Here is a 17274-nt window from a genome sequence, read left to right as displayed (position 1 = left end):
TCAGCATCAGTTCAAGCTTTCTGTTCCCGTTTTTAGGTTTTACCTTTTGAGCCCAAATATTCCTGCAATCTCAGCTGCTATACACTAAAAAAAGATGTTTGTTTTATTTTATCACGTATTTGTGGCTGTTTGTAAAATTTCAGATAATGTAATCTTCCCTTCTGCTAGCAGAGGAACCTAGCACTATATATTTTTCTTTATACTTTTAAAATTTCTTTTTTTGTTCGTTTGTTTGTTTGTTTGAGATGGAGTCTCGCTCTGTTGCCCAGGCTCGAGTGCAGAGGCACGATCTCAGCTCACTGCAATCTCCGCCTCCCAGGTTCAAGCAATTCTACTGCCTCAGCCTCCTGAGTAGCTGGGATTACAGGTGCACGCCACCACACCTGGCTAATTTTTGTATTTTTAGTAGAGACAGGGTTTCACTATATTGGCCAGGTTGGTCTCGAACTCCTGACCTTGTGATCTGCCTGCCTTGGCCTCCCAAAGTGCTGGGATTACAGGCATGAGCCACCACGCCCAGCCTACTTTTTAAATTTCTATAGCCAAATTATCAAAGTAGTATAACCCCTAGAACCAAAACAGAAGAATGATATAATTTAAGTATTACATATTACTTTTCTTCTGGCTAAGAACAAGTCCCTGGTTCTCAACTGCATTTTTAAGTTTTTCTGTATCAAATATCTTAAAGGACTAACAAGAAAATGTTCAAAGGACTAACTGAAAAAATTTAAAAATCACTGAAAAGGGAGCCAAAATCATAAAAGTTATAGTCTTTTATTAATGATAATGTACACATTTTAACCTTAAAAATATTCTGATTATTCTTACCTCTGAATTAATAACTTTAATCAGGAAGAAAATGTGATATACTGTTTTCGTTAACAAAGAAAGTTGACGACACCTCTCAAGGTACACTTGTATAGATGGTTCTACTCTTTGTTGTAATTTACTCCAAAAGAGAGTAAGTTCCCTTAAAAAAAAAAAGTTATAATAAGAAAAGTTGGAGCAGTAAGGTAATAATCATGGACATCAGTCCAGTCATTACATTTGAAATTAAAACTGGTTTTATATTCCAATCCTATATGCATGCTTAAGTTAAAATGCAAGAAAACAGATCCCAATTTTCTAAATACCAAATAAAATCAGAATATGATTTATCATTTTATTAATTAATATTTTTCAGTCCCAGAGAAGCACTACCTTCTACTAGGAAAGCATCTAACATTTTTTTTTTTCTGAGACAGTCTCACTGTCACCCAGGCTGAAGTGCAGTGACGCAATCTCGGCTCACTGCAACCTTGCCTCCCGGGTTCAAGCGATTCTTCTGCCTCAGCCTCCTGAGTAGCTGGGATTACAGGCGCGCACTGCCATGCCTGGTTAATTTTTGTATTTTTAGTAGAGATGGGGTTTCACCATGTTGGCCAGGCTGGTCTCAAACTCCTGACCTCAGGTGATCCGCCCACCTCGGCCACCCACAGTGCTGGGATTACAGGCATGAGCCACTGTGCCCGGCCAGCATTTAACATTTAAACAAGTTTTACAGATGATGACTTTGAGCCACATGTGAACTTTATGTAATAAGAAAGCTCAAGATATGTGTGTGTACGTATATATGTGTGTGCATGTGTATATATAATATATATATAAAAAAAATCAATGACATGATTTTTAAACAGCATTTCTCTTTTATCTTCTAACAAATTTAAAATTGACAATAAGGTTATTATTATTAGATGAATATAAGAACCAATGATGACAAAAAACCCAGAAGAAACCAATCTGTGCCACAGTAATTTCCCAGTTGATTTACTGGCTTTCCAGGTGATTTTCTGTCTGAACTCTGTACTACTACTTCTTTGCCCAACTCTGCCCTCACTACTGAGTCATCAATCAACTCACAACTGCTTATCTTCAACAGTGTTTCTTAAACATAAACTTCTATGTTGCCCTTCAAGAGCTTATAATGGACTGCTTTTGCTTAGCATATGAAACTCAGCTTTTGATGCCTTTGTAAAAACCAACAAAACACATTAATTTCTTAGTCATCACTGATTTTCATGCTGGTATAACTAGAAAACCTATTACACTTGTCCTGGATAAATACTTCTTATTTATTCTCCCTTCAGAATCTTTCTGCCTTTCACACCAAGCCTCTCTGTATTGCATATACTATTTTTCCTTCATAACGAGGCTCAATGCTCAGAAATCCTTTATAAGCTTCAATCTTTATTGATTACACAACCATTGATTTACCTTGGCTGTTCTATTATTCATTTGTATGCTGTCATTTGGTAAATATTCTTAAATGTTGGAATTTTATAAATCAAATTTTCTTATGTGTTCCCATAATATCAACACAACACTGAAGACTAATAGTGCTGTTGACTGACCAGATAAATTGTCAGTGTTAGCTAAGCTAATTTAAGGCAGCTGATCTTCAGTTTTTACATTAACTGAAACCAAGATCTCTGTTTCCTGTAGCCTCCCAAAGGATTACATATAACAAGCTATGCCCAACTGAAAATGTACCATAAAAAGAAATGTATTGCTTACATATCTAAAAAAATGTTATGGTGGCATTAGACAAAACAAGTCTTTCTTTCACTTTCTAACACTTAAAAATTTCCTGACCAAAGATAATTCCTGGTATGCATGCTAAGGAATTGTGTGGCCTTTAATACACAAAGTTTTGAGTTGTAACAACTACTCGATAATAAGTTTGCACAGCATGTAATATCTAAATATAAGCCTTTTGTCTTAAAAAGATTTTAAATTATGTTCCTAAGTTATATGAATTCTCACAGCCTATTTTGCATTCTTATTTAACAAATATTTCTTTAAAAAAAAAAAGATCAACTCACCAAGCGCAGTACATATCTCCTTGTTGGAGCTGACGTGACAAAAACGCAGTACATAAAACAAGAGCGCTTTTTTCATCACCCTCAGATTCTAAGTTACAGATCATTTCCAGTGCATCTTTGCAATCAACTTCTGAAATCTAAAGAAAAAGCCAATAGAAATATGCCACAAAATGGTTTTATATTAGAATATAGAGCAATATACCTTTAGTTTTCATTAAATATTTAGATAGTTTTTATGAATAAAATGCCATTAATTCATACACTATCAAGTCAGTTATAATTTGTCATTACTGGGACAAAGACTGGCTGCAGTTAAAAAAAAAAAAAAAAACCTTTCTTTATAGCCAGTAGAAATTTATATAGTAATTCTGAGAAAATTAAGAAACACCGGAGAACCAACTATTTAAGAATTTACAAGCATTTATATGTAACTAACTGATGATAACTATAAGCAATCTCTACCCATTAAATCAGATCTGATCATGAAAAAAAAATGCAGTACTTTTATTTTTTCCCCTTTTATCCACTGATTTAAACAAGCATTAGAATCAACAGAGACACACAGAGAGGTACACTGGGTATAGACTAATAAACTACGTATCTATTCATGAGGGAAAAATATAGTATGAAGCATTTTATGTAACTGTACCACTTTTAAAATAAGCTCACCTCAATTTTCTATAAATCTCCACTATTTTTCTTTTCATATAAATTTACTCCATCTCAAAGCTTGCCAACAGTCATGCATGTGTACGTATAACCTAGATGAAGGCAACTTGCTTCATTTAATGATGCACTTACATCTATGATTTCTTTTTAAAAAAATTAAAATTTATTACCTCATTACAATGATGTACTATATAAAACGAACAGACTTTACCTGTGATTGCTACAAGCATCTGCTATAAGACAAGGGATCTGACAAACAGCATACAATCACAAATTACCAGTGTTCCACAGAATAGAAAGATTAATTCCAATATGGTACAACTGACAGATGGCAAAAAGAACTGAAGACAAAACAGACCATTAGCACTCACGTACCACAGAGACTATGCCTCTCCTAGTTGATTTTCTCTCTTTCATAAAATATTGAGTAAGCAAAATGTGCATGTGTAAAATGTAATGTGTTTAGGATTCAACAAGCATGTAAATGGAGAATGCGGGTAATCCTGAGGTCAATCTTTGATAATAAGGATAAACGCTGTGGGGCAATAGGTTCACAGGTTCTATTTTACACATTAAATTGGGCCTTCTTAGAAAACACTAAGACAAGAAAAAAAAATCGTGTGTTCAACATAAATGATTACCCACAGGAATTATGAAGTTAGTGGAAGAGTTAAGACTGAAATCTAGTCTTATGCTACCTGGTACAGTGTTGTTCCCACTACTCCTCTCTCTGCCTCTTTTTCAACAAATCTTTATAAGCAACTTGATTTAAGCAAATAAAAAAAGACCGAAGGATATATATTTATAAAGTAAAGATTTAAAAATATCTACAATATGTTAAACACACTGTCAGACATTTTATATATATTATTAATCGTAACTTTCCCACTAGGTAGGTATTATCACTAACATTTTATATACAGATGGTCTGCGACTTATGATGGGGCTACATCCCAACACGCCCATCCTAAGTTGAAAATAATGTTAAGTTGAAAGTGCATTTTTGACTTAAAGTATTTTCAATTCAAAGTAAGTTTATCTAGATGTAACCCCCTCATACGTCCAGAAACTTACTGAATGTGTACCACTTTCGCACCGTTGTAGAGCTGAAAAATAGTAAGCTGAACGATCATAAATTGGGGGACCACCTGTATGAATGTGCTAGTTAAGTGGTTAAGCCACAAATCCAATCATGTCTGGCTGACATTAAAGATCCAAGCTCTGGCCGGACACGGTGGCTCACGCCTGTAATCCAAACACTTTGGAAGGCCAAGGTGGGTGGATCACCTGAGGTCAGGAGTTTGAGACCAGCCTGGCCAACATGGTGAAATCCCATCTCTACTAAAACATACAAAAACTAGCTGGACATGGTGATGCATGCCTGTAGTTCCAGCTACTGGGGAGGTTGAGGTGGGAAAACCGCTTACATCTGGGAGGTGGCAGCAGTGAGACAAAATCGCACCACTGCATTCCAGCCTGGGTGACACAGCAGCACTCGGTCTCAAAAAAAAAAAAAAAAAAAAAATCCAAGCTCTTTCCACTTCATCACAATATATTTTATTCAAAATTACGTTAAACAATTACCCTGTGACACTCATGCAATGCTGCCTGGTAGATGCCACCACTTTATTTTATATATTTATTTATTTATTTATTTATGAGACGGAGTCTTGCTCTGTTGCTCAGGCTGGGGCACAGTGGTGCCATCTCAGCTCACTGCAACCTCCGCCTCCCAGGTTCAAGCGACTCTCCTGCCTTAGCCTCCTGAGTAGCTGAGACTACAGGTGCGTGCCACCACGCCCAGCTAATGTTTTGTATTTTTAGTAGAGATGGGGTTTCACTGTGTTAACCAGGATGGTCTCGATCTCCTGACCTCGTGATCCACCTGCCTCGGCCTCCCAAAGTGCTGGGATTACAGGCATGAGCCACGGTGCTCAGCCAATGCTAATACTTCTTTTAAAGAAAGAAGGCCTAAGCGTTAAGTTCTTTGCTCAAAGTTATGCACTTAGTGGCAAAGTCAAGATGTCAACCTAAGTTTAGCTTCATAGTCTGTGATCTTTCCAGAATTCCACCTGCACAGGAATACTAAGGCCATATATTCATATGCTGCTAAATACAGATTTTTACTTGTTCGGGTTTAATAAAAATCCGTATTTCTTGAAAGTCTCATTTATTTTTAATCTTATCATTTTTGTTGTTCTTCTAAAACCTAAGCCACTCTTAGGCTGGGCCCGGTGGCTCACGCCTGAAATTCCAGCACTTTGGGAAGCCAATGGGGTGGATCACGTGAGGTCAGGAGTTCGAGACCAGCCTGACCAACATAGTGAAACCCTGTCTCTACTAAAAATACAAAATTAGCCAGGCATGGTAGCAGGTGCCTGTAATCCCAGCTACTTGGAAGCTGAGGCAGGAGAATTGCTTGAACCTGGGAGGTGGAGGTTGCAGCGAGCTGAGATGGTGCCACTGCACTCCAGGCTGGGCAACAAGAGCAAAACTCTGTCTGAAGAAAAAATAAAAAATTAAAAAACAGAATCAAATAAAAAATAAAACCCCCTCCCCCTCCCCCACCCACCGCCACGGGTCTCCCTCTCCCTCTCTTTCCACGGTCTCCCTCTGATGCCGAGCTGAAGCTGGACTGTACTGCCACCATCTCTGCTCACTGCAACCTCCCTGCCTGATTCTCCTGCCTCAGCCTGCTGAGTGCCTGAGATTGCAGGCGCATGCCGCCACGCCTGACTGGTTTTCATATTTTTTTGGTGGAGACGGGGTTTCGCTGTGTTGGCCGGGCTGGTCTCCAGCTCCTAACCGCGAGTGATCTGCCAGCCTTGGCCTCCCGAGGTGCCGGGATTGCAGATGGAGTCTCGTTCACTCAGTGCTCAATGTTGCCCAGGCTGGAGTGCAGTGGTCTGATCTCGGCTCGCTACAACCTCCACCTCCCAGCCGCCTGCCTTGGCCTCCCAAAGTGCTGAGACTGCAGCCTCTGCCCGGCCGCCACCCCGTCTGGGAAGTGAGGAGCGTCTCTGCCTGGCCACCCATCGTCTGGGATGTGAGGAGCCTCTCTGCCCGGCTGCCCAGTCTGGGAAGTGAGGAGCGCCTCTTCCCGGCCGCCATCCCGTCTAGGAAGTGAGGAGCGTCTCTGCTCGGCTGCCCATTGTCTGAGATGTGGGGAGCGCCTCTGCCCCACCGCCCCATCTGGGATGTGAGGAGCGCCTCTGCCCAGCCGCGACCCCGTCTGGGAGGTGAGGAGCCCCTCCGCCCGGCAGCCGCCCCGTCTGAGAAGTGAGGAGCCCCTCCGCCCGGCAGCCGCCCCGTCTGAGAAGTGAGGAGCCCCTCCGTCCAGCAGCCGCCCCGTCTGGGAAGTGAGGAGCGTCTCCGCCCGGCAGCCGCCCTGTCCGGGAGGTGGGGGGCAGCCCCCGCCCGGCCAGCCGCCCCATCAGGGAGGGAGGTGGGGGGCAGCCCCCGCCCGGCCAGCCGCCCCATCCGGGAGGTAGGTGGGGGGCAGCCCCCGCCCGGCCAGCCACCCCGTCTGGGAGGGAGGTGGGGGCCAGCCCCCGGCCCGCCAGCCGCCCCGTCAGGGAGGGAGGTGGGGGGCAGCCCCCGCCTGGCCAGCCGCCCCGTCCAGGAGGTGGGGGGGCGCCTCTGCCCAGCTGGCGCCCCGTCCGGGAGGTGAGGGGTGCCTTTGCCCGGCCGCCCCTTCTGGGAATTGAGGAGCCCCTCTGCCCGGCCGCCACCCCGTCTGGGAGGTGTACCCAACAGCTCATTGAGAACGGGCCATGATGACGATGGCGGTTTTGTCGAATAGAAAAGGGGGAAATGTGGGGAAAAGATAGAGAAATCAGATTGTTGCTGTGTCTGTGTAGAAAGAAGTAGACATAGGAGACTCTATTTTGTTCCGTACTAAGAAAAATTCTTCTGCCTTGGGATGCTGTTGATCTATGACCTTACCCCCAACCTGGTGCTCTCTGAAACATGTGCTGTGTCCACTCAGGGTTAAATGGATTAAGGGCGGTGCAAGATGTGCTTTGTTAAACAGATGCTTGAAGGCAGCATGCTCGTTAAGAGTCATCACCACTCCCTAATCTCAAGTATCCAGGGACACAAACACTGCGGAAGGCCCCAGGGTCCTCTGCCTAGGAAAACCAGAGACCTTTGTTCACTTGTTTATCTGCTGACCTTCCCTCCACTATTGTCCTATGACCCTGCCAAATGCCCCTCTGCGAGAAACACCCAAGAATGATCAATTAAAAAAAAAATATATAAATCAAAACCAAAAAGAAATAAAAAAATAAAAAAATAAAAAAAATAAATACTTACTGAAAAAAAAAAACCAAAAAAATAAAACCTAAGGCACTCTTGCTGAGTGCTCATATGGTACCAAATTTATCTATTATGTATAAGGCAAGAAATTTACTTCCCCAATGTTATTACTATCATTAGCTTACTTTTTTTTTTTTTTTGAGATGGAGACTCGCTCAATCACCCAGGCTGGAGTGCAATGGTGCGATCTCGACTCACCGCAACCTCCACCTCCCAGGATGAAGCGATTCTCATGCCTCAGCCTCCTGAGTAGCTGGGATTACAGGCTAGTGCCACCACGACTGGCTAATTTTTATATTTTCGTAGAGACGGGGTTTCACCATGTTGCCCAGGCTGGTCTCAAACTCCTGACCTCAGGTGATACACCCACTTTGGTGTCCCAAAGTGCTGGAATTAAGGTGTGAGCCACTGCACCCGCCCAGCTTACTCTTAATATTTAAAAATATAAATTTGTGATTGCCTATGTGTATTTTTTCATATACATGCAACATACCAACTGAAACATCTGCTACATTCAGTAACACAGCAAACTTCATTTCTCATAGGCATACTAATGAAACAATTTTCATGGTGTACTTGGGATCCTTCATTTCTCTTATTTGCCACTAGATGGCTGTCTTGAAAAAATATGACATTAAATAGAATGCAGGAATAAGGAAGTCATATACAAAGTAGTAAATTACTAATTAAAATCATGAAAAGTGAAACATAGCCACCAATGAACAAGATTTAAAAATCCAAAGAAGCAAAATTCAGAGATTACCAGTATATTACCTATATAGGGACTATTCTCTATTGCTCTGACAAATGAGCAAAAATTTAAATACCAGAAAATTTAGAACTCTTAATAAAATATTTAAAACCAATTAGAATGATCTGTTTGCTAAAGACACATTATGCTGAATAAAGTCCCTTTGTAAAGCATAACAATTATTTCAAAGATGTAAATAATAATTTGTATGTTTTAAAATGGCTCTTTATGCCAACTATTCAAAAAATATAGAACACTATCAATATTTTATATGAATTTACGAAGTATACTTTTAAAAAGTATTGGCTGTAATCACATTTCAAAAACAGTTTCAGTTGGGTGCGGTGGCTCACGTGTGTAATCCTAGCACTTTGGGAGGCCAAGACAGGAGGATTGTCTGAGCTCAGGAGCTTGAGACCAGCCTGAGCAACACAGTGAAACCCTGTCTCAACTAAAATACAAAAAATTAGCCAGGCATGGCGGCGTGCACCTGTAGTCCCAGCTACTTGGGAGGCTGAGGCAAAATTAATTGAACCCCGGAGGCAGAGGTACCATGAGCTGAGATCACACCACTGCACTCCAGCCTGGGCAACAGAGCAAGCTTACTCTGTCTCCAAAAAAACAAACAAACAAACAGTTTAAAAAATTGATTTGCTTATCAAAATAATATTGCTTTCCATATAGAAAATAAATGTTAAACCTGTCATAACTAAGAAAATATAAAATCAAGAGTTAATCAAAATTAACTCTTGGGCTAGCAAATATTTAAGACTAATAATCTCTAAGAAGATATTTCACACTGTTTTTGGAAACATAAATTGCCATAATCTTTTCTGGAGGATAGTTTGAACCTATCAATTTAAAATGTGTTGATTCTTTGATCCAGCAATTTCACTTCCAGAAATTTACCCTACCAGTATACTCCCCACAAGGATACACGGATGTATGTAAAAGGCAACAATATAAGTAAGTGTCTACCAATCTGGTTAAAGATATTACAAATGCATACTATGGAATTATGTAGCCATGAGAAAGAATAAGGTTGATCTATATGAAATGATATGGAAACATGTCCACAATAATAGAGGGAAAAGGGACCGGCAACCAGGGAGTGTGTATGCGATTTTAAGTATTAAAAATGCATGTATGTGCATAGAAGAATGTCAGAAAGATTATATATCAAATTTTAATCTTAATAATAATTACCTAGTGGAGTATTAATTAGGGAAATGAGACAGCTACAGAGATACAAGATAGAAAGTTTTAGTTTTTAAACTTCTATATTTTAATGATAAAACAAATAGAAATATTGGATCTAAACTAGACACTGCTAACTTAATTTTTTACTACTATACCAAGAATCCAGACCAAAGTTCATTCCTTCCAGAAAGGCCAGATAAACACTTAATCTCTCCCAGCCCCATTCCTCTGCCATCTACCAAGGCTAGCTGCTATTTCTTTTCTTTTTTAAAAAAAAAAAAAAAACAACCTATGGGGTATCAACTAGCTGCTATTTCTATCACACCGAAAGGGTCCTGGGAAACAGTCAATCCCTTGCCTCACTTGGACAAAGATTTCCTCAGAAAGATCACCACCAATCCAGGCCATTGCTGACTCCTTCTAACAAAGTCTGTTCCCACTGTCCTTTAAGGAACACGTAAACAAAACCAAACCTCAAATACTTGTAAGAAACAGGCAAGTAACGTACATTAATGAAGTGGACAAAGAGTAGGGTGGGCAAGTGAGAGAGCACATGGTGCACACCTCTTCTAAAGGGGGCAATGTCTCTGGGTTGGGGACAATAAATCTTAACTCACCTCATATGGAACAATGAATAAGTTTCTAATGTGTTTATAACAGAAACATTAAAGAGCAATCATCTCTAAGCAAAAAAGGACTTTTAACAAAGTAATGTTGTTACTTTGTAACAAGGGACTTTTAACAAAGTAATGTTACTATATATGTGTAGTGCTATGTAAGTGTAGACTTAACATCTATCTGTCCTGTTCTGCACTATATGATCTAGTTTTTTTCCTGGGATGGAGTATATAAACCTTAGTGAACCCTGCTTATGAACATGAAAAGTCTTAATTCTACCTGCTTAACATGAGAAGTGGGGGGGAGGGAAATAGTTCCATATGACACTGGAAGTACCCAGGGTCTTCACAGAATTTTCCTGATCATCTCCCAGAGTAGGCTGGACTGTTGTTACTCAACTCTGGATAATTAAACCAAGAAGGAACTTAGGCTCAGTATTGCAAGACTGGATTATTCAGAGAGCTAGAAATACAGATTTTTTTTTTTTTACTAGATTTTTACTTGAGACACAGATTCACAGTCTTCAACTTCAAAGCTAACCCAACAACTCTATGCTTAGATAGTCAGTTTCCTAACAGGAGATACGCTTCTTTAGTGAAGGGCCTACCCCTTATTCACCTTTAAATCCCACCTCCCCCAATCCCCCCCAATGCTTATACAGAAAAAATCATTCACTTAATACAAATCTGTGGAAGGGGAAGGGAGGTCAGATGAACCTTAAGGGCAGGGACTGAACTGATAATAAAAGCTTTCGTGGCACTGAAAAATATCTGAGAAGCAGCAGCACAATAACTAATGATTTTTTTAAAAATGTTACAACACGTCAAAGGTGATTTCAATAAATTTTATACATCTGCAAATTAACTTATCTAGTTATTTGGAACTAATAAGAAAATGTCAGTCTTCTATTTTGCTCTCATATATAATAGCAATTAAAAGGCCAATTACCTGTAATAAAATAAATAATAAAGAAAAAAATCTATAGACTAGTTGAAGTCCAAACTAATAGTGATATAGTATCCTAGGCTACAGACCATGGTTCCACTCCATCTAGCCTACAAACTGTCTGACATTACTCTTCCCACTATCCTCAATATCCTCACATAAGAAACCCAACAGGTTTATTTCTTATCTTGGTCCAAGCCTACCACTTGCCTTCCTACTTGTCTATTCTCAAGGAAAAAAAAAATCACACAATCATCATTACAAACCTCATGTGGCACTGAGCTTTCTGTATGAGGCTATTCTGCTTTGAGACTGATGACAATACCTAAGAGGATCATGCATGCTCTATTAGTTTACTTCTCTGTCTTATATCTCAATTTTTCCCTTAACATATCCTTATGTTTTACCTACAATCCCTTTGTTTTCCTCTCTATTGCTCTGGAGTCAAAGGATATGTTATTACAGATATAAGACACCCGTACACATTCAGTGCCCACTGAACACTGATCAACCTACTATAGGTTTTCTTTAAAAAAAATTTTTTTTTTTTTTTGCGACAGAGTCTCACACTGTCACCCAGGCTGGAGTGCAGTGGCATGATCTTGGCTCACTGCAACCCCCACCTCCCAGGTTCAAACGATTCTCCTGCCTCAGCCTACCAAGTAGCTGGGATTACAGGTGCCCGCCACCATGCCCAGCTAATTTTTGGTATTTTTAGTAGAGAGAGGAGTTTCACTACGTTGGCCAGGCTGGTCTCAAACTCCTGACCTCGTGATCCGCCCGCCTCGGCCTCCCAAAGTGCTGGGATTACAGGCGTGAGCCACAGGCACCCAGCCAATCTAGTATAGTTTTATCTAAATTCTTTAAATATACACGCCCTGTTTCTTGATCAACAACTTCTAATTCTCCTACCCTGTTTCCAACTTCCTTTTGAAATTGTAAGTCCCTCAAAATGCAAAATTGCAAAATTCCCATTTGGATCATGATTCCATTCTCAGAATTTTGTAGTCATAAACTATACAAATATGTGAATACTATGCTTTATACCAAACTAGAAGTGAAAAGACAATGTCTCAGAGAGAAAATAAGGTTTTACATTAAATAGGCAAATAAATACGTACTCAAAATGATATATAGCATAGATGTGCATATATATATTCTATATAGAATTTATATGACAAAGTATTTCCAGAGATAAGTCACAAAAATTCTATAAAGTTACTTAAATTAGCCAGTTTAAAAGATGTGCAAGTATCTTGAAGTCAGACAAGATTGAAGTTAAGGCCAAAAGCTGACAAATATAGATATTTTACTAAACTGTTAAGCCACCACTATCTTTCCCACAATTTAGCCAAAGCATTTAAAAGATGTATATTATTTAAAACAGAAACTAGGTGCAATCAGTTTACATATAATTCTAAAAGCTACTTAGAATCAAGTTGCCACCACTCAAGAACATACCAAAAATGTAAGATTGACAATGATCTCTTCGCTATCTAAGAGAAAAGGAAATCAAAGACATTCTAATTAAAAATTAATTTCTCAACTTAAAAAATAATTACTAATGAAAGAAAACATACTCACCTCTTCGATTAACTTTCCATTTGGTGATGATGTACAAAGACAGACAAGGTAAGTTTGCTTAAAACTACCTTTTATGCCAATCTCTGGATGGTCAGAACACAGCTTTGCTAGAGCAGTTGCTTGACTTAACTGATTTGTTTTGATTAGATGTTTAATTCTCATATCCAACAAGATGGGACCCTCAAAAGCTAAAAATTCATTCACTTTAAAAAACAAGACATAATAGATTATTAACATTTGGTAATAATTCATTTGCAATACCAACACTTATAAGAAATATTTTTAAACACGGGAACTAAAATGCTTTTTTTCAATTTTCTATTATTGCTAGTAAGGCTATCACAAAAGACTTGACCTTATAAGCAAGAAGAGATTATATTGCTAACTTTTAAAAGTTAAGTACTTTTGGCCCTTATATAAGGGACCATTTAGAATGAGCTGAATAAACTTGTTGATGATGAAAATAGTTCTGTGTTAAATGCTAATAGTCAATGTTATTAAAATTACACTAATTTTTTTTCCTACAGCAGTTATTCTTCAACACCAGCAGTTAGCATCCCTAAAATCTGTAATGCTAGGGCATTACAACCTTCCACGATGAGTAACCACAAAAAGCTATTGGGACATTCCAGAAGAAGAGATTCAACTAATATTTTGTTCAATACTGATGGTATATTTTTCATTTTACAAAGCTGAAATCTGACTTTTAAAAATAGATGTTTTATAATGAATCAAAATATCTACAGAAAAATAAATAAGATGGGAGAAAAGTTTGCCAAAGGATAAAACTTCGCCAAAGGATAAAACTTCTGTGGGTTTTATGTCGTTATTTTTAAAACATCAATGAATAAACTCAAAACAGTCACTTATGCATAAAACATTTCTACTTTGTTCAAACCTCTGACTATCCCCTAGTGCTTGTTTGGTCATCTACAAATAAGAATTAATATTTTTATTTTTTGTATTTATGAAGGAGAATTTAAGTTTTAACAAGTTTAAGTTTTTCCTAAGTGTTCTTTACCAGAATAGAAATCATGTTTAAAAATTTATTTGACAATGGCTAGCCTGAAACCTTGGGAAGGCTTTTAGTAATAACATTTAAAATGCTCCATGAATAAAACACAGTATCTTCTCTGCTTGTTAACAGACTGAAAGATACATCTGGTAAGTAATTTGCAGGTTAGAATACAGAAAATGAGAGATGTTCTTTACTTCTTGTAATATCCTTTGTTTCCCTCTAGTACTTTCATTTTTAGATCTAACTGTACTCCACTATAGAAAAGATTCTTCTATAAAATGCTATGATCATGGCTCGTTGGTATTAAAACCATAAACATATAAGCTATAGAACACAAGATCTCAAATCTAATCCTTTTCTTGAAGTCTAGACCTTTTCACCTGCTACCCTCTATTCTTTACATTACACTAAAAGGCATAAAGGGTAAGCACAGATAAATAAAGCATATGTTTCTGGTGCCTCTGACTACATGTCTTTATGAGATAAAGGGCATTACTTTTCTTTTTTAATATTGCATTATCCTATTAGGACAATTACAATGCAGTTACAGTTTAGTTCACTGCCAAAGCAAAAGATTTTAAATATAAGACTAAAAAACAAAGTTATAATAAAGTTATTCTGGCTATCAAGAGCTTTAGTTTCCTAATTCAACAATTTTCTCCAAAGGAAACTCTAGAGATACAAAGTCTGGGAATTATTGCAAATATTCTCACAAAAAAGTCACAATCAACACACTCTAAAAGATCATGGTGAAGAAATAACTTAAAGGTGGGAAGTATTTCACAAAACTGATGGTCCCAATCTCAAATAGGCCCTGCATTCTCAAATAGCAGCATTTAAGTTAGAACGACAAATTGTGTAATTTCTGCATTAAATCAATGTAGAAGAATATTAATATTGCAAATTTCAAAGCCATAGGCTTTTGTTTGTCTCTTAATGATGGGAAACCACTGCCACACTTAGGGCAAAATGGATTTCAAAAATACACAGAATATTTGAGTAGAAGGAAATTTATAGATCATTTTGTCTGTTCCATCATTTGGCAGATGAGTAAACTGAGGCTCAGAGAAGGCAAGTGACTTCCTAGGGACATAAAGCCAGTTAATGACATAGCGAGGAGTAGAATGAGTCTTCTGACTTCTAGCTTTATACAGTGTGAGGTAAGAAAAAGAATTTTTTTTTTTCTATTTGACTACTGGGTCTACTTCTCATTGGAATGGCACCTTACAGCAGTAAAAACCTGTGAAGTAGCATCAGCCTTTAAAGGAAGATAATTATATATTCTGAAGTTCATGATTCAAATGGATCAAAAGTGGTTTACACTCAATTCAGTCCTATTGAAAGCTCACTTCTCTCCCTCTACTTCTTCACTACTTTTTTTTCCCACTTCTCTGCATCTTTCTATTTCTCTGCAATCCAAGATGTTTTTCCTTATAATGTTACAATATTGCAACAAAGACTGTTTTCATGCTTCTCAGACTTATCTTTGAGTAGCTTAGACGTATCAAATTTCACTCCCTAGTCTGCTTTTCCCACTAGCATCCCACAAAGTATAAAATATTTATAATTTTACTCATGTGTCACCTTTTTATGTTTTCTCTATATTCACAGACTTCAACAGAAAAGCAGGCTTTACTATATTTGGGCCTATCAAGAAAGCTATGTGACATAGATAACACTACTTCACATGGCAATATAAATAAATGATATTTAGCCAATTTGATTAAAAATGTAAAAGAGCCTTCTTCCTATGTCACTTTCTTTTTTTTTTTTTTTAAGACGGAGTCTCTCTCTGTCACCCAGGTTGGAGTGCAGTGGCGCAATCTCGGCTCACTGCAAGCTCTGCCTCCCGGGTTCATGCCATTCTCCTGCCTCAGCCTCCCAAGTAGCTGGGACTACAGGCGCCCGCCACCACGCCCGGCTAATTTTTTTGTACTTTTAGTAGAGATGGGGTTTCACCGTGTTCGCCAGGATGGTCTTGATATCCTGACCTCGTGATCCGCCCACCTCAGCCTCCCAAAGTGCTGGGATTACAGGTGTGAGCCCCCACGCCGGGCCATGTCACTTTCATAATATTAAAAGGAAACCACTAATTCCTACATTAAAGATAATTAAATACAAAATATGAGTTGATTTTCTGTGATAAATAATTACACAAGAATTAATTGTGTACTATGTACCACAGGTTACACTAGGTCCTAGATTCCCCCTAAAGTGGGGTCAACTCATTTACTGGGTTCCTATTCTCATGCCCAGATTTGCATGATTTCCTTTGCAGCATCTTTGACTAGCTGTTTCAAAAGCATCTCAAACTCAGCATACAATATCTCTACACCACATTACGTGTCATCTCCACATTTCCATCTATTCAGTTGTGCTCAAGGCAGAAACCTAGGAGTCTGCCTTAAAAATGCTCTCTCCTACCTCCTTTTCACCCAGACATCAATCTATCACCTAGTTGTGTCACTTCCAATGCCTAAATACTCAATTCCATTAACTCTTCTTCATCTCCACTTCCATATTGCTCCCCCAACCCAACCCAACCCAGCCCAAATCACTAATCAGACTACTTCGTAGCAATCTACTAGTCGTCTCCATCTACTCTTACCACCTCCATCACTTCACTAGAATCCAGGGTGCTTCTGGTATTACTTTAAAGCACACACTTGATTGTCTTCCCTGTTTAAAACCTTCTAGTGGTTCCATTGCTTTCAAAGCAAGGATCACTTATCCTTTTTAAAAATACTTAATTTGTATTCTCTCTTAGAAATAATTCAGCAATTAGGCTGGACACGGTGGCTCACACCTGTAATCCCAGCACTTTGGGAGGCCAAGGCAGGTGGATCACCTGAGGTCGAGAGTTTGAGACCAGCCTGACCAACATGGAGAAACCGTGTCTCTACTAAAAATACAAAATTAGCTGGGCGTGGAGGCGCATGCCTGTAATCCCAGCTACTCGGGAGGCTGAGGCAGGAGAATTGCTTGAACCCGGGAGGCGGAGGTTGCAGTTAGCCGAGATTGCGCCATTGCACTCCAGCCTGGGCAACAAGAGCAAAAACTCCGTCTCAAAAAAGAAAAGAAAGAAAGAAACAATTCAGCAATTAGGCAAGAAAAATAAAAGAGATACAGATCGAAAAGAAGTAAAATCATCTGTTAGCAGATGACATGATCTTGTATGTAGAAAGCCCTAAAGATCCCATTTAAAAACTACTGCAACTAATAAACAAATTTGGTAAAGCTGCAAGATATAAAAATCCACACATAAATATCAGTTGCATCTGTACACTAACAATGAACAGTTCAAAAAGGAA

General features: G+C 38.8%; 1 protein-coding gene across 12 annotated transcripts in view; it reads right to left on the bottom strand.

Annotated features, from left to right (window-relative positions):
* The window catches only part of ZNF292 (zinc finger protein 292), a 110379-nt gene that overhangs the window by 19471 nt on the left and 73634 nt on the right, over positions 1-17274 (bottom strand). For 11 of the 12 annotated variants that reach the window (XM_047418459.1, NM_001351444.2, NM_015021.3 and 8 more), the window contains 3 exons: positions 12946-13148; positions 2862-2998; positions 829-970 (listed from right to left, as the gene is read on the bottom strand). In XM_047418459.1, the coding sequence (XP_047274415.1) occupies positions 829-970; positions 2862-2998; positions 12946-13148 (482 nt within the window). Of the gene's footprint in view, positions 1-828; positions 971-2861; positions 2999-12945; positions 13149-17274 lie in introns of those variants that run through there. The other variant, XM_047418460.1, reaches the window with a different exon arrangement.

Source organism: Homo sapiens, chromosome 6 (genome assembly GCF_000001405.40).
Source record: "Homo sapiens chromosome 6, GRCh38.p14 Primary Assembly".
NCBI lineage: Eukaryota > Metazoa > Chordata > Mammalia > Primates > Hominidae > Homo > Homo sapiens.
Note: the sequence above shows the minus strand (reverse complement) of the source record. Positions and strands in the feature narration are given on the sequence as shown.